The 17,946-nt window shown below is 39.0% G+C and overlaps 1 protein-coding gene across 8 annotated transcripts in view; it reads left to right on the top strand.

Moving 5' to 3' along the window:
- The window catches only part of ELOVL7 (ELOVL fatty acid elongase 7), a 92,479-nt gene that overhangs the window by 56,158 nt on the left and 18,375 nt on the right, over window positions 1–17,946 (top strand). For 5 of the 8 annotated variants that reach the window (NM_001104558.2, NM_024930.3, XM_006714695.5 and 2 more), the window contains 2 exons: window positions 681–778; window positions 16,019–16,209. In NM_001104558.2, coding sequence (NP_001098028.1) covers window positions 715–778; window positions 16,019–16,209 — 255 coding nt within the window. In that variant the 5' untranslated portion in view covers window positions 681–714. Of the gene's footprint in view, window positions 1–680; window positions 779–2,060; window positions 2,289–3,899; window positions 4,019–16,018; window positions 16,210–17,946 lie in introns of those variants that run through there. The other 3 variants (NM_001297617.2, XM_047417776.1, NM_001297618.2) reach the window with 3 other exon arrangements.

Below are 17,946 nucleotides of genomic sequence, written 5' to 3'. Positions count from 1 at the left end.
TTTCTCCATGTGCCAGTGCCACAGTGTCTTAATTATTGCAGATTTATAATATCTTTTAATACATAATAAGGCTAGTTTCTCCTCACTGGTCTTCTTTTTCAGATTTCTTTCTCCAGTTATTCTTGTCTATCTGTCTAGATAAACTAAGCAGCTTTTCCTTGGATATTATAGACCTTCCTTTCCCTCTTTCTGTCTCTATTCTACTTAAATTATAAAAATTTGCATATAGATGACTTTATGAGGCCTGAAGATGAGCTCTAAGTCTAGGATCAGTTTATCTTCTCTGAAAGTTTGTGTATCTCTTGACTTTCTTCTCCAGGGTTTCTGCTTTAGCTTTGCCACTTCAAGTGCAGTCCGTTCCTGAATTATGTTGTCAGCATAAAAGGGAGCTGCTCCTATGAAAGTTCTTAGAGTCATTTACTGCTTTTGAGTCTTGTACATAGAATATTAGTCTTTTTCAGTGATGTTAGCAGTGTCTCTAGAAGGATGGAAAACCCGAAATGTCTGCAACTGCATCAGGGTTTAAAGTAATTTACTTATGCATTTGCCTTCAGTGGGAGTTTGTTGTCTTGCCAGTTATTCATATTAAATTTTTAGCATTTTAAATAATGTATTACTATAAGCTTGACTTTATTTGCATTTATAGATTATAAACTCATTTCTGTTTTATTTTACTGAAGAACCCATTAAAAGAGCCAGTAAATCCTGTGGAAAATGGCCTTCAGTGATCTTACATCGAGGACTGTGCATCTTTATGATAATTGGATCAAAGATGCTGGTGAGTAACCACATTTCCTAATTGAGGTTCATCCTTCCTTTTTATGTCAGATTCTCATATTTAATAGGATTTCACTGGAACAGAATGAGAGACTTTGCAACTTAACAGTCCCTTATTACTAGTTAACGAAGAGGAAGTGCACAGGTTTCATTACAGATATGTACAAAGATGGAGCTACACAGATGTTCATTACAATGTTTACAGTAAGGAAAATAGCCTAGATATCCAGTGAAGGGAACTGATCAATAAATGATGACTCATTCTAACTTAGTAGCCATTAAAAGTGATTTTGGAAGGACAGTGCTCTTCAGCCTGATTCTTCCCTAATGCTCCTGAGGGAAATTACAGTTAATGCCAACTCTTTTTTTTTTTTTTAAGACAGAGTCTCACTCTGTCGCCCAAGCTGGAGTGCAGTGGTGCAATCTCGGCTCACTGCAACCTCCGCCTCCCTGCAACCTCCGCCTCCCTGGTTCACGCCATTCTTCTGCCTGAGCCTCCCAAGTAGCTGGGACTACAGGCACCCACCACCATGCCTGGCTAATTTTTTGTATTTTTAGTAGAGACGGGGTTTCACTGTGTTAGGATGGTCTTGATCTCCTGACCTCGTGATCCGCCCGCCTTGGCCTCCCAAAGTGCTGGGATTACAGGTGTGAGCCACTGTGCCCGGCCACTGCCAACTCTTTTGAATGAAAGAGTTGCAGCCCCCAGGAACCTGTCAGAGTGAACAGGGAACAGGAAAACCAGGGAATGACTGCCTGGGACACCTCCGAGTGATTCTGATATGCCTGCCTTTTACCCTTGCCCATTTATTTTAAAAGTCAATGTTTCAGAAGACATTAATGCCATAGCAAGAAGTTTAAAATATGTTAAATGAAAGCAGGTTATAAAATACTCCATACATTTCTTTCATGGGGTTTAGCAGTTATCTCTGGGTAGGATTATGGGTAATTTTTATTTCCGTAGTTATATTTGTCTACATATTTTTAAATCACAACAAATATGTTGTGTTGCTTTTATAACCATTTTTTAAAGTTTTAAAAGCAGAACAAAAGTAAAATTTCAAAAAAAAGAATCAGAGCATCTTAGAACTGAGATGGATCTTAGATATCATCGAAGCTAATGCCTCATTTTACAGTTGAAGAAATGTGACCTCAAAGTCAAGATGGCAGAAAAGACTAGAACCTATGTGTTCTGGTTATTAGTTGTAGTACTCTGGTATTTAACATTTGAGTTTATTTTTGAGATATTGAGCTATACATACTCACCACCATCACTACTTTAGGTTGATTCTTACCTATCAACTAGAAATTGCAAGTCTACCAAATTCAGGAAGGAAATGCACACCTCTTGGCACCTACCACAGATGAAATTATAGTCAAATTTACAACGATTTCAGCAAAGATACACTGTTTCATCATTTGCAGCTTTCTCAGCAGACTACTAAAGACCAAATTTATCTCACTAAAAGTGTTCCCAACAGTTTTTCCTTTGAGGAATGCCAAGGTTCTTTGTAAGTATCTCATAGAGAGAGAAGCTTCACTGTGGTAGGGGATACATAGTGACTATGCCTATCTTTTCTTAACTTTTTTTTCTTAGTTTTCCAATATATGATACACAGAATATTCAAGTTTCTTTAGGGGTCATCCTTCTCTGAAGGTTTACAGTAGTTCTCATAAAGTCAGTATTAATTTAAATACTAATATTTTCATTGCTTTTCAAGGAGAGGTGTGCCTTGCTACATGAACTCTCAGTATTTGAACTTAGGAACCAAGTAGATTGGGTTTTTGAAATAGAGTTATTTGGAAGAACAGATCTCTTGGTATCCAATTCTTGATAGTCACTATCCCAGATACAAGAATCCAAGAGACTCAAATAATCAATATGCTAACTCAAGAGCTGAATAGATGTAGATAATAATAAATATCTATGTAGTCCTAGAAGTTAAAAATGCCTTAATATGAACTTCTTTAGAATTCCACTTCCACTTTTATCCATGGATCAACTCCTTAATTTTTATTAGGAATACCTACATTGAAATTGCTGAGTAAAATTAGATTAGATGTGGAGTGGAGTCCTGACAACAGCATTGCAAACGGTGCAGGGAAGATGAGGGGAGAGAGGCAGGGAGAAGGCAAGGAATACTTGTATTTGAAGTTATGCTCATTTGAAGACTTGGGAGGGGAGAGAGGATATGGGGATTTGGAGTGAAAAGACCTAGATTTAAGGTCTGACACTGCTGTAGCCCAGCTGGATGATCTTGAACACGTTATTTATTGGCTGTGAGTCTTTGTTTCTTTATTAGCAAAACATAAGTGAGAATAGCATCTACCAGCTACCAGATAACATACATGAAAGTGCTCTGCTGTTTCGGAAGTATCCCAACATAAAAGAGTGGTGCTGGTTGTTACAGATGATAGATTTCATCTGAAAATTCTCTTCATATAGCATATACTTAAAAATTGTTTTCTTTACATAATTTTTTTCCCAGGCATGGTCTAAAAGGGTTAAAATGTTTTGTTTTGAGATATACAGCTTTATAAAAAACGCTGTCAGGCATAACAGGAAAGTTTTTTCCTTCTACTTAGTGTAGTATTGATCTCTGAGATCCATTAGGAATCATTTTTGGCCATCTTAGTCCAGTTTTAGTCTGCTTACCCTGGAAATGTCTGAACTTATGATCAAGGGCCAAGAATTTCAAGTGTATTCTTGGCTTTAGCCCTAACCCTGAGTAGCGTAAGGAAACTTACTGATATTCATTGGTTTTCTGATTGCTAGAGAAGTAGTGGTCATGCATAGTTATTTCATGTGGAAAAATTCCACAGCTACAGAAGAAAAAATGGTTTAATTAATACTTAGCTATAAGAGGATTTATTTGGATTCTTAGATGTGAAATGTGAGAGTTTGAAATAATGCTATGGTAGCATTTTGGATAATGGAGAAATGAAAAAGTTTTTAATGTTTAAAATACAGCTTTCCTTGCGTTTGATTAGAAATGATGACTTTTCAGACTTAGTCATGATCCTTTTTTTGCAAGAAGATGGAGTATGAGTAAGATTGCTGCCATTCTGAAACTTTAATACTTCAAAAAGTACTTAAGGTACATGTTTGCTTTTCCTTCCAGCTTCTTCATTTCATTAGTACTTGGAATCTTAAAGATGTACTCTTTGAGCCAGTACCTGCTACTTAAGAAGAGAATACTCTCTTAGAAGCAGCTGATGGAAAAGCCCATTAATATTCTATGTATGTGGCATTCTACTTTCCCTATGCTCTCTCCCTGGGACACTCTTAGAAACGAATTATTAAGCTAGTAATAAATCAGAACTTTGGTAATCATTGGGGTATAGACTGTCAGACAGCCTGCCTTCCCATCCTCTGCTTCTATCATGGCTCTACTCATGACACTTAAACCAAATCTGATGCCAAAAAGAAGGTACATGAAACATCCCCCACCCCATTAGCCTTTTGTTTCTGGGGAAGACAGAGCACCTCATGCCTAACCCTAACTTTTTCAACTTATGTAATGATACAGGGAACATTCAAGTTTCTTTAGGGGTCATCCTTTTATGAAGGTTTATAGTAGTTCTCATAAATTCAGTATTTAACTTCAATACTAATATTTTCATTGCTTTTCAAATAGAGGTGTGCCTTGCTACCTGAACTCTCATTATTTGAGCTTAGGAACCAAGTAGCTGTGGGTGCAGTGTTTTGAAATAGAGCTGTTTGGAAGAACAGATCCCCTGCTATCCAACTTTTGCTATTCACTATCCCAAATGGGATCATAAACAGAGTCAGAATTAACTTTAACTGTCACCCAGCAGGTGCATTGATACTCCCTGTAACATGCCCACTACCTTACATGGAAGTGGACTCTCTATTCAGAAAGGTATAACTGTTGCTGAGAGAGAAGGCCAGAAAAGTGAACAATGGCCGGAGTCATGGGTGTCATCCTAATGATTTTGTATTTTATTTGCTCAGTAAGGGAGAGCTAATTTAAGCAATTTTATTTCTCAGTAAGGGAGAGCTAATTTTATCAGAGGAAGAATTTTAGGACTTGATTTTTAGAAAATGAATTTGACAATTGCGTGGAAGACCAATGTAGCAGATTGGATCAGGAGGCAGTGAAACCATATAAAAGACTATTGAAGAGTACCTAGTGAGGGGTGCTGTAGCCCTAAATACAGGTGAGGAAACTTGGTCTCACACCAGACCCCTAGCTCTTAACTATGACAGTTCATCACGGTCACCAATTAACAAATTGTTGGCTGCTGACAAATTATAATTACATATATTTATGGGGTACAAAGTGATGTTGTGATATATGTATCCAATATAAAATGATTAAATCAATCCAAATAGCATATCCATCACCAAATACTTATCTTTTTATGGTGAAAACATTTGAAATTTACTTTTTACAATTTTGAAATATACAGTATTATTAGCTCTAGTTATCATGCTGTGCAATAAATGTCAAAAAGATATTTCTTCTGTTGAACTGAAACTTTGTACCCTTTGATCAACATCTCCCTATTTCCCCAGCCCCCTGGCCTCTGGTAACCACCATTCTACTCTTCTTATATAAATATGATTATTTTAGACTCCTTTATAAGTGATAACATGTCTTGCCTTTTTGTGCCTGGTTTATCTTACTTAGCATAATGTCTTCCAAGTTCATCCATATTGTCACAAATGATAGGATTTTCTTTTTGAAGGCTGAATAATAGTCCATTGGTTATTTCTATCTATGTGTCTACAGGTCTGTAATTCAGAAAGGCATAACTTTAGATTGACAGGTATCACATTTTCTTTATCCATTCACCCATTGATGGACACTTAGGTTGATTCCACATCTTGGCTATTATGAATAATGCTGCAGTGAACATGAGAGTGCAGATATCCCTTCAATATGCTGATTTCATTTCCTTTGGATATATATCTGGAAGTGAGATTGCAGGATCATATGGTAATTCTATTTTTAGTTTTTTATAGAGCCTTCATGTAGTTTTCCTTATAGCTATAGTAATTTACAGTCCCACCAACATTGTACAAGGGTTCTCTTTTCTCCACATCCTTGCCAACGCTTGTTATCTTTTGTCTTTTTGATAACAGACATTCTTACAAATGTAAGGTTATATCTCTTTGTTTTTTTAATTTGCATTTTCCTGATGATTAGTGATGTTGAGAATTATTTTCATCTATCCGTTGGCCATTTGTTATCTTTTGAGAAATGTCTGTTCAGGTCCTTTGCACATTTAAAAAAATGGATGCATAGAAACCGTGTCCTAGGATTCTGATTCAATTGGACCAAGGTTGTTTTTTGCAATTTGACTTTTAAATACTGCAGAGTCAATTTGGCTGTGCTAACAGAATTGAGATCTGCTATAATAACAGTAGCAAGCTTATTGAGCACTTAGGCTCTTTACATATAGTAACTCAATCAATCCTCTATGAAATACATGCCTTTTAATGCCCAATTTGCAGATGAGGAAACTAAATACAGAGAAGGTGAGTCAATTGCCCAAGGTGACATAGCGAGCCAGTGGGAGAACCAGGATCAGAATGCAGACTGTCTGACTCCAGAGTTTTGCTGAAATAGAATTTCTAAAGCTTGGTATTTTGTTTTATTATTTGCTTTGAAGATAACATCCAATTAAATTAACCAGTGTTTCCCATAATTATTTTTTATCTGTAGAACTTGAAAGTCACGTACAGGACTTAAGGTGTGTGCTGAAAATATTAAATTACGGGAAAAAATTATTTATTTTAAAATTATTTTATTCTGCTTCCTGAGCCAGCCCAGCATGCTTTTCCTGGCTTGTTTTCTTTCTACTGCTACCAGAGGAAGAACAGAGAAATGATGTCATTTGATTTTTCCCCCTCCTGAGTCAATGAAAGAATAAAATAAAATATATCTCTCATTCAGCAATTCTTTTACTGACATTTAAGCTCGTTTCTAACCATATGTGTGATGACTGTTAATAATAGAATCATTTGAAATTGTTTATAAAGCAAAAGAAAAAACAAAAGTCAACTAAACTCCCACCATGCAAAGGTGGTGATGTAACATCCTTCCAGAGGTCTTCTTTTGGTATTTTGTTTTTCTTTCCTTTTTTTTTTTTTTCTGAGACAGGGTCTTACTCTGTTGCCCAGGCTGGAGTGCAATGGCATGATCTCCGGTTCACTGCAACCTCCACCTCCCGGGTTCAGGCTCTTCTCATGCCTCAGTCTCCCAGATAGCTGTGATTACAGGCGTGCGCCACTATGCCTAGCTAATTTTTGTATTTTTCGTAGAGACAGGGTTTCACCATGTTGGCCAGGCTGGTCTCAAACTCCTGACCTCAAGCGATCACCTGCCTTGGCCTCCCAAAGTGCTGGGATTACAGGTGTGAGCCATGGCGCCTGGCCAGTATTGTTTTCATTAGTTTTTTATTTCATTAGCAATAACAACTAGACATAGTAATATGAATCTCATCTTGAACTGTAGTTCCCATAATTCCCACATGTCGTGGGAGGGACCCAGTGGGAGGTAACTGAATCATGGGCGCAGTTCCCCCATGCTCTTCTCACGATTGTGAGTTTTCACAAGATCTGATGGTTTTTTAAGCATCTGGCATTTCCCCTGCTGGCACTCATTCTCTCTCCTGCTGCCCAGTGAAGAGGTGCCTTATGTCATGATTGTAAGTTTCCTGAGGCCTCCCCAGCAAATTTAAATCTCTTTGCTTTATAAATTACCCAATCTTGGGTATTTCTTCATAGCAGTGTGAGAATGGACTAATACAGTAAATTGGTATCTCAGAATGGGGCGCTACTATAAGGATACCTGAAAATGTGGAAGTGACTTTGAAACGGGCTAAAGGCAGAGGTTGGAGCAGTTTGGAGGGGTGAGAAGAAGACAGGAAAATATGGGAAAGTTTGGCCGGGCGCCGTGACTCATGCCTGTAATCCCAGCACTTTGGGAGGCCGAGGCGGGTGAGTCACCTGAGGTCGGGAGTTCGCAACCAGCCTGACCAACATAGAGAAACCCCATCTCTACTAAAAAATACAAAATTAACTGGGCGTGGTGGCGCATGCCTGTAATCCCAGCTACTGGGGAGACTTAGGCAGGAGAATCACTTGAACCCGGGAGGCAGAGGTTGCAGTGAGCCGAGATCGTACCGTTGCACTCCAGCCTGGGCAACAAGAACGAAACTACATCTAAAAAAAAAAAAAAAAAAAAAAAGGGAAAGTTTGGAACTTACTAGAGACTTGTTGAATAACTTTGACCACAATGCTGATAGTGATATGGACAATGAAGGTCAGGCTGAGGTGGTCTCAGATGGAGATGAGGAATTTATTGGGAACTGGAATAAATAACACTATGCTTTAGAAAAAAGACTGGCAGCATTTTGCCCCTGCCCTAGAGATCTGTGAAACTTTTAACTTGAGAGAGATAATTTAGGGTATCTGGCAGAAGAAATTTCTAAGTGGCAAAGCATTCAAGAGGAAGGACCATAAAAGTTTGGAAAATTTGCAGCCTGATGATGCGATAGAAAAGAAAATACAATTTTCTAGGGTGAAATTCAAGCCTGCTGCAGAAATTTGCATAAGTAGCAGGAGCTGAATGTTAGTCACCAAGACAATGGGGAAAATGTCTCCAGAGTATGTCAGAGACCTTGGCAGCAGCCCCTCCCGTCACAGACCTGGAGGCCTAGGAGGAAAACATGGTTTTTGGGGCTGGGCCCAGGGCTCCCTGCTGTGTGCAGCCTAGGGACTTGATGCCCTGCATTCCAGCTGCTCCTGGAATGGCTAAAAAGGGCCAAGGTGCAGCTTGGGCCATGGCTTCAGAGGGTGCAGGCCCCAAGCTTTGGCAGCTTCTCCATGGTGTTGAGCCTGTGAATGCACAGAAGTCAAGAATTGAGGTTTGGGAACCTCTACCTAGATTTCAGAGGATGTATTGAAACTCCTGGATGTCCAGGCCGAAGTTTGCTGCAGAGGTAGAGCCCTCATGGAGAGCCTCTACTAGGTCAATGTGGAAGAGAAATGTGGGGTCAGACCCCAAACACCTAGTCCCCACTTGGGCAGTGCCTAGTGGAGCTGTGAGAAGAGGGCCACCATCCTCCAGACCCCAAAATGCTAGATCCATTGACAGCTTGCACTGTGCACCTGGAGAAGCCACAGACAGTCAGTTCCAGCCAGTGAAAGCAGCAGGAAAGGGGGCTGTACCCTGCAAAGCCACAGAGGCAGAGCTGCCCAAGGCCATGGGAGCCCACCTCTTGCACCAGTATGACCTAGATGTGAGACGTGGAGTCAAAGGTGATCATTGTGGAGCATTGAGATTTAATGACTGCCCTACTGGATTTTGGACTTGCATGGGGCCTGTAGCTCCTTTGTTTTGGCCAATTTCTGCCATTTGGAATGGGTATATTTATGCAGTGCCTGTATCCCCATTGTATCTGGAAAATAACTAACTTGCTTTTGATTTTACAGGCTCATAGGCAGAAGGGACTTGCCTTGTCTCAGATGAGACTTTGGATTTGGACTTTGAGTTAAAGCTGGAATGCATTAAGACTTTTGGGGATTGTTCGGAAGGCATGATTGTGTTTTGAAATGTGAGGACATGAGATTTGGGAGGGCCCAGGGACAGAATGATATGGTTTGACTGTATCCCCACCCAAATTTCATCTTGAATTATAGTTCCTATAATCCCCACATGTTATGGAGGGACCTAGTGGGAGATAAGTGAATCATGGGTACAGTTTCCCTGTGCTGTTCTCATGATTGTTTCTCACAAGAGCTGATGGTTTTATAATTGTCTGGCATTTCCCCTGCTGGCACTCATTCTCTCTCCTGCCACTTCATGAAGAGGTGCCTTCTGCTGTGATTGTAAGTTTCCTGACGTCTCCCAGGCCATGCAGAACTGTGAGTCAATTAAACCTCTTTCCTTGATAAATTACCCAGTCTCGGGTATTTCTTCATAGCAGTGCATGAGTGGACTAATACAATGATGTTCATGTATTTAAGGTTTGCACTACCCACTTATAGAAGAAATCTATCAAAGTTTGATCAGTTCTAATTTTTTCCCTTGGTCCCTGGTTCTGTGACAACTTTTATTTATGGAGACTTCCTTTGTGACATACAGACCCATAGCAAGCCTTCCTTGTGGTGGTTTTAATTGCACAAAACAACGAGACATCCTAGAAAGCTTGCCATTGTTAAAAGCAAGGAGGGGAACCAATAGAAGCAGTAAAAGATTTCAGTGATGTGTACCTGGGTAGCTGATTTCAAAGTTTTTCCTGATTTAGAACTGTGACAAATCTTAATATGAGAAAATACTTCCGAAATTATAGAACTTTATGTTTTGAAAAGTGTCTGTCATCAAACTTTTGTTTAATTTCTATTTTGTGCATGACACCTTGTTAAAATTATTCTGCTGAGAGCATCAGAGACGTCCTTTTGTTAAATGTAGTGGCATTTTTCTGTCCCCATTTTATTTCCCCTTTCTGCCACACTTAATGCTTTGACTCCTTCCGAAAATCCACTCTTCCCTGGCTTCAGGATATCTCACTTTTATGGTTTTCCCTCTACTTCTCTAGCTGTTCCTTTTTGGTTTTTATGTTTTTTCCTTCAGTAATTCCTTCTGTGAATGCTGAGTCCTCAGGATCCTGACTTCAGCACTTACTCTCCTTACTGTACCCACTTAGCCTAAGCCAATCTCACTGCTTTTATTGTTCATCATTTATGTGATGGCAACCCTCAATCTTATATCTCTGGCACAGATCTCTCTCCTAATTCTAGATCCATATATCCAGCTGCTTATGAAAGACTTCATATGAATGTTTTAAAGGCAGTCTAAGTGTAAGATGTTTTAAAACATAAGCCACCTCTGCTTGACCAATATTGCTCCTAATCCTGTGTTCCCAATCTAAGTGAATTTAAAGATCTGAGTATTTTTCTTTTAAAAATTTTTTTTTTAATTTTTGCGGGTAAATAGTAGGTGTATATATTTATGGAATACATAAGATGTTTTGATACAGGCATGCAATATGTAATAATTATATCATGTAAAATGGGGGTATCCATCCCCTCAAGCATTTATCCTTTGGGTTACAAATAATCCAATTATATTTTAAAACATACATTTAAATTATTATTGACTATAAGTCAGCCTGTCGTGCCACCAAATACTAGGTCTTATTCATTCTATTTTCTTTGTACCCATTAGCTATTCCCACCTCCCCCCCAACCCCCCTAGTACCCTTCCTAGCCTCTGGCAACCACCCTTCTACTCTATCTCCATGGACTTAATTGTTTTGATTCTTACATCCCACATATAAGTGAGAAATCTGAATATTTTTCTTAACATTTACCTATTTCCATTCCCTGTGTTTAACCAATTATAAATTTTTATATTTTCTTCTTCCTTACTGTATTTCAAAATAATCTCCTATTTATCTGTCACTATCACTACCTGTTTTTAAAATTTTTATTTTAGATTCAGGTGGTACACGTGCAAGTTTATAACTAGGCTATATTGTCTGATGCTGAGGTTTGGGCTTCTAGTGATTGCATCATGAATATAGTGAACATAGTACTTAAAAGTATGTTTTTCAGCCCTTGTCCCCTTCCTTCCCTCCCACATTTTGGATTCTTCAGTCTGTTGTTCCCATCTATACCTGCATGTACCCAAGACTTAGCTCCCACTTATAAGTGAGAACATGTAGCATTTGGTTTTGCATTTCTGTGTTCATTTGCTTAGGATAATGGTCTCCAACTACGTTCATGTTGCTGCAAAGGATATGATTTTGTTCTTTTTAATGACTGCATAGTACTCCACAGTATATATGTACCACATTTTCTTTATCCAATCCACCATTAATGGGCACCTAGGTTGATTACATGTCTTTGCTGTTATGAATAGTCCTGCAGTGAACATGCAAGTGTATGTATATTTTTGGCATTTTCCTTTCAGTATGTACCTAATAGTGGAATTGCTGGGTTGAATAATAGTTCTATTTGCAGTTTTTTGAGAAATCTCCAAACTGCTTTCCACAATGGCTGAACTAATTTGCATTTCCACCAACAGTGTATAAGCATTCCCTTTTCTCCACAGCCTCAACAACTTCTGTAATTATTTGACTTTTTAATGTTTGTTGGCCGCTTGTATGTCTTCTTTTGTGAAGTGTCTGTTCATGCTCTTTGCCCACTTTTTAATGAAGTTATTTATTTTTTCTTGTTGATTTAAGTTTCTTGTGGATTCTGGATATTAGTCCTGTTGGATGCATAGTTTGTGTTTTCTCCCAGTCCATAGGTTGTCTGTTTACTCTGTTAGTTTCTTTTGCTGTGCAAAAGCTCTTTAGTTTAATTAGGTCTTAATTGTTGATTTTTATTTGTGTTGCAATTGCTTTTGAGGACTTGGTCATAAAGCCTTTGCCAAGGCCAGTGTCCAGAAGAGTGTTTCCTAGGTTAGGTTTTCTCCTGGGATTTTTATAGTTTTAGGTCTTGCATTTAAGTCTTTAATCCATCTTAAGTTAATTTTTGTGTATGGTGGTAGGTAGTGGTCCAGTTTCAGTCTTCTGCATATGATTAGCCAGTTTTCCTAGCACCATCTATTGAATAGGGAGTCCTTTCCCCATTGCTTATTTTCATTGACTTTGTTGAATATCAGTTGGTTTTAGGTATGCTCCTTTATTTCTGGGTTTTCTGTTCAGTTCCATTGGCCGATGTGTCTATTTTTATATCAATACCATGCTGTTTTGGTTACTGTAGCCGTGTAGTACAGTTTGAAGTAAGATAATGTGATGCCTCCAGCTTTGTTCTTTTTGCTTAAGATTGCTTTGGCTATTTGGGCTCATTTTTGGTTTTCTATGAATTTGAGAATAGTTTTTTCTAATTTTGTAAAAAATAACATTGGTAATTTGATAGGAATAGCATTGAATCTTTAGATTGTTTTGAACAGTATGGACATCTAACAATGTTGATTTTTCTAATCCATGAGCATGGAATGTTTTTCCATTTGTATTTTCCATGATTTCTTTCAGCAGTGTTTTGTAATGCTCCTTGTACAGATCTTTTACTTCCTTGGTTAGATGTATTCCTATGTGTTTTATTTTTTGTGCTTGTGGTTATTGTAAATAGGATTGCATTCTTGATTTGGCTGTCAGCTTGAGGGTTGAAGAGCTGTTCCAAGCTCTTAAGGATAATGCTTTGGTGCATAGAAATGCTACTGATTTTCATACATTGATTTTGTATCCTGTAACTTTACTGAATTCATTTATCAAATATAAGAGTTTTGGCTGGGTGTGGTGGCTCATGCCTGTAATCCCAGCACTTTGGGAGGCCAACGTGGGCAGATCACGAGGTCAGGAGTTTGAGACCAGCCTGGCCAACAAGGTGAAACCCTGTCTCTACTAAAAATACAAAAATTAGCTGGGCATGGTGGCGGGCACCTGTAATCCCAGCTCCTCAGGAGACTGAGGCAGGAGATTCACTTGAACCCAGGAGGCAGAGGTTGCAGTGAACCAAGATCATGCCATTGCATTCCAGCCTGGGCGACAAGAGCAAGACTCCGTCTCAAAAAAAAAAAAAAAAAAGAGAGTTTTATGGTGGAGTTGGTAGGTTTTTCTAGGTAGAAGATCATATCATCAGCAAGCAGGGATAATTTTACTTCCTCTTTTCCAATTTTGATGCCTTTTATTTCTTTCTCTTGCCTGATTGCTCTGGCTAGGACTTCTAGTACTATGTTGAATAGGAGTGGGCATCCTTGTCTTGTTGCAGCTCTTAAAGATAATACTTCCAGCGTTTGCCCATTAGGTATGATGTTGGCTGTGGGTTTGTCATAGATGGCCCTTATTATTTGAGGTATGTTCCTTTAATGTCTAGTTTGTTGAGGGTTTTTATCATGAATAGATGTTAGATTTTATTGAAAACTTTTTCTGCATCTATTGGGATAATCATATGGTTTTTGTTTTTAATTCTGTTTATGTGGTGAGTCACATTTATTGACTTGAATATGTTGAACCAACTTTGCAGCTCAGGAATAAAGCCCACTTAATCGTGGTGAATTAACTTTTTGATGTGTTCCTGGATTCACCTGGCTAGTTTGTTGAGGATTTTTGCATCTATGTTCATGAGAGATATTGGCCTGTAGTTTTCTTTTTTGTCATTGTTGTTGTTGTTGGTGTGTCTTTGCCAGATTTTGGTGTCAGGATGATACTGGTTTCATAGAATGAGTTAGGGAGGAATCTCTCCTCCTCAATTTTTTGGAATAGTTTCAGTAGGATTGGTACTAGCTCTTCTTTGTATGTCTGACCACCTACTCTTCAGTCATTTAATTTATAAATTTATTTTAGTGTTCCACAGAACATTAGTTTCATAAGATGTTAAATAACATTCTACAAAAAAAATAGTGTTTTTTGGCCAAATACGTTTGGAGAATATGGCATACTGCCATTCCCATCGTGGCAATTCATGATGAACATGAAGCATTAAGAAATCCTGCAGTAATGCAACCTGTTTGTTTAACCCAGCATTCCAGTATTCCCCAATTCTTTGTGGAAAGTCTTTAAATAGCTTGTTTCCATGCATAGTTTGGAATATTCTTGTTTGTATAGGATATAAGATAAGAAACAAACTCATTTTTCTCCCAAGCAGTCAGTTTTCCTATCAACATTTGTTGAAGATCTCTTCCTTCCCTGCTTGTTTCTGGGACTTCCTTAATCATATATTAAATTCTTAAATGTCCTGGGATCTAGTCTGGAGCTGACTCTTGACTCTTTGGCTTTATTTCTTTATTTTTTTTGAGAGGGGCCTCTGCCAGTATTTTTGAGGGAGGCTTATTTGAATGCAGAATAATCACCCATGCACATCTGATAGTCAAATGTAAGCACTCCAGCACTAAAATTGAGGCCAAGTGAGTTATCAGTCATAGAGTCCTACTGAAGAAATTTTGAGTGGGAAGTCACACTTGCAGGGGTATTCAGAATTTGTCAGTGCTTGGCCACATCATTAGCAGCTTAAAAGAGCAAGAGCTACATTCTCCCTACCCTTCTTTTCCAATTGATAAAAGTGACAGTAGTTAGCATCCTGAGGTTAGTCATGGCATAATTTTGAGTCAGGTCCTTCTGGGAACTTGTCCTTACTTCCTTTCCTTCATAATACTCTAGCTTCATGAGGCCATTTAGTAAAATTAAACCTGAACTACTAGAAATTATAGACTTAATCACATTTCATCCTGAGTTGTAATTTTTTATTCATCCATCTCTGCTGGCCTGGAGCTGGCAGTAAGCAGATAAGTTTTTGTTTGCAATTGTGAGACCGTGCATTTTTTTTGCTCAGAATATCACAGTTGTTAGCTCACATGGACTCCAAAATCCCATACTTTAGCTACTTAGAGGATGTTCAGCCTTTCTATTCTGTGATCCTGTGATACAGTATATGTGGAAGTGTGCCAGTTTTCCTGGGGAAGGAAAAAAATTAAGCAGCAAACACAAACTTTTTTTAATATATAAAAGCATGTATGGATGGAAAAACTCCAAGATATTAATAATGACTATAGACACATGGTGGGATGTTGCTGGGTGTTCTCTCTTCCAGATAGCTTTGCACCCTGTGCTGGGCCCTGGAGAACGATCCATGAAGACTGTATCCTTGGGTTTGCTCCCCTGCCGTATGCTTTCTGGTTAGATTCAGCCAGTGGAGAGAGGGAGGAGAGTGGAGTTGGGGTATCTATTCCTCTGGCGCCATACTTACAGAATTGTCTTGGGCTGGCTGAATCCCTCAACTGACAGTCAAAACTTGTCTTAGCATACTCAGGATGCTTAAGAAATTATCATAGACTGGGTAGTTTATAAGCAGTGGAAATTTATTTCTCACATTCAGAGGGTGGAAGTCTGAGATCAGGGTGCCAGCACGGTCGGGTACTAGTGAGGACCCTCTTCCAGGTTGCAGACTGCCATCTTCTCATTGTATCCTTACATGGGGAAAGAGGGCAGGAGAGCTCCCTGGGGTGCCTTTTATAAGGGCACTAATACCATCATGCAGGCGATCAGTGCATAATACAGCTCCTCTCCCACTGTTTCTAGCCCCAGGATACTTCCTTATTCCTGTTGATTTCTTTTTCACCTTTCTAAAGATACTAGTGATCACTGCCCAAATAGCTCACAGTTAATAGTAGGATCTGGGTGCTCAGTTAAAGAAATGTTGGTTGCTGTTAGTTACCCCTTGGCTAAGCAGGTGTGTACTCACATATTGTTTTTCTCTTAGATCCAAGAGTTGAAGATTGGCTCCTCATGTCCTCGCCTCTGCCACAAACCATCCTCCTAGGATTCTATGTCTATTTTGTCACTTCCTTGGGACCAAAGCTCATGGAAAATCGCAAGCCCTTTGAACTCAAGAAAGCAATGATAACGTACAATTTTTTCATAGTACTCTTTTCTGTGTATATGTGTTATGAGGCAAGTGTCTTCAGTATTCCTAATGGGAGAATTTTGCCTGAGTTTTTCTGTTTATGTGTCATTATGTTTTCTGTTATAAGGGTAAACTTTGCAATTTAAGGAATTAAGAAACTGATCTCACTAGAGCAGGTATTTGCCAAAATAGTGTTAGGTATAGACCAAATAATAAACTCATTTGAGGATCTCAGTATAATCTGTCTCACAGATAATGAGAAAAACTAACATCTATTCCATGGATTTGTACATAATTGCCTTAATGGATTATTGAATTAATCCATAAATTTTAGTTTTGAGGAAACTCTTAAAGTAACATAGCTGGTAAGTGGAGGGCTGATATTTGAACCCAGGTCTGTCTGACATCAGAGTTCATCTTGACTCAGTAAAAAGTTGTCATCATCATGGTAGGCACCTTTGGTTTCTGGATACTCTGATGAACTATGGGATGGTAGACTGTTTTGGTTAGTTTAGCTGGGCTTTGTGGGGACAGAGAGCATAGACTCATATAAAGCAGTAGGTGAGGGAGCCTGTTCCTTAATTTTTTTCCCATTAACTCATTAATTCATTACTGTCCCTTAATTGTTAATAAGAGAGATGGGGCTCTTCCAGGACCCTAAAACAGATTCATGAATTCTCTCTCTTCCCCTGTGCTATTAACATGCCTCAGCCACCCCCATGTATGTTCTTTTCTGAGATTCCTTCCTTCTTTTCCAACTCTGGCTGGCTTCATTATCCTTTTTTATTAACTTCCTCTATAGCATAACTGGTGCTTAATCATAAGTAGGGCTCACGAGGGCCCAATATGGGCCCACTGACCTCTCCTGGCACCATAGTTTCTCCACATGCATTCTGACCTGACTCTTGCTACAGATCCATCATATCGATCACTTTAAATCTACTGTGGCTGGCCAGGTGTGGTGGCCTACACCTGTAATCCCAGCACTTTGGTAGGCTGAAGTAAGAGGATTGCTTGGGCCCAGGAGTTTGAGACCAGCCTGGACAACATAGGGAGACCTTGTGTCTACAAAAAATACAAAAAAATTAGCCAGGCGTGGCGGTGCACGCCCGTGGTCCCAGCTGCTTGGGAGGCTGAGGTGAGAGGATCACTTGAGCCTGGGAGGTCAAGGCTGCAATGAGCCGTGATCATGTCTAGTGACGGAGCAAGACCCTGTCTCAAAAAATAAAAATAAAAAAAATACTCTGGCCTTATTTCTCACAGTCCTCCCTATAGTCTGGACTCACTCTGCTGCTTTCCATTTCTTCTATTTTATTTTGAAAATTAACTCACAGGCCACTCTTAATGTCCCTTCAGGAGTATGAGCAACTGAGAGGAAAAGAGTGATAGAGATGGGAGCAAAGAAAACACAAGGTCCTAGCATGGTCTTAGGGGACAGCATGTTGTAGTAAGGTGTTAAGAACATACCTGGAAGCCAGGAGATTAGGAACTAGTTAGTTCTGCTTCTGCCACTGACTGGCTGCCTGAATTTTAGCAAGTTATTTAACCTCTCTGGGCCTCAGTTCTCTCGTTTTATAAAGATAGGATTGAACCAAATAGTCTCTCAGATCCCTCCTTGCTCTCATATTCTTAGGGTCTATGTCTGATTTGTCATTGAGTGTAATGTACCCAAATATATTTCTCAGGCTTGGAAAGAATCCAGTCATCGCCAGTCAGCTTTGATTCCTACTTGATCAATTACAATGTAAAAGAAGATTTTAAAATATCTGAATTTGAGAGTTTCT

Source organism: Homo sapiens, chromosome 5 (assembly GCF_000001405.40).
Source record: "Homo sapiens chromosome 5, GRCh38.p14 Primary Assembly".
Lineage (NCBI taxonomy): Eukaryota > Metazoa > Chordata > Mammalia > Primates > Hominidae > Homo > Homo sapiens.
Note: the sequence above shows the minus strand (reverse complement) of the source record. Positions and strands in the feature narration are given on the sequence as shown.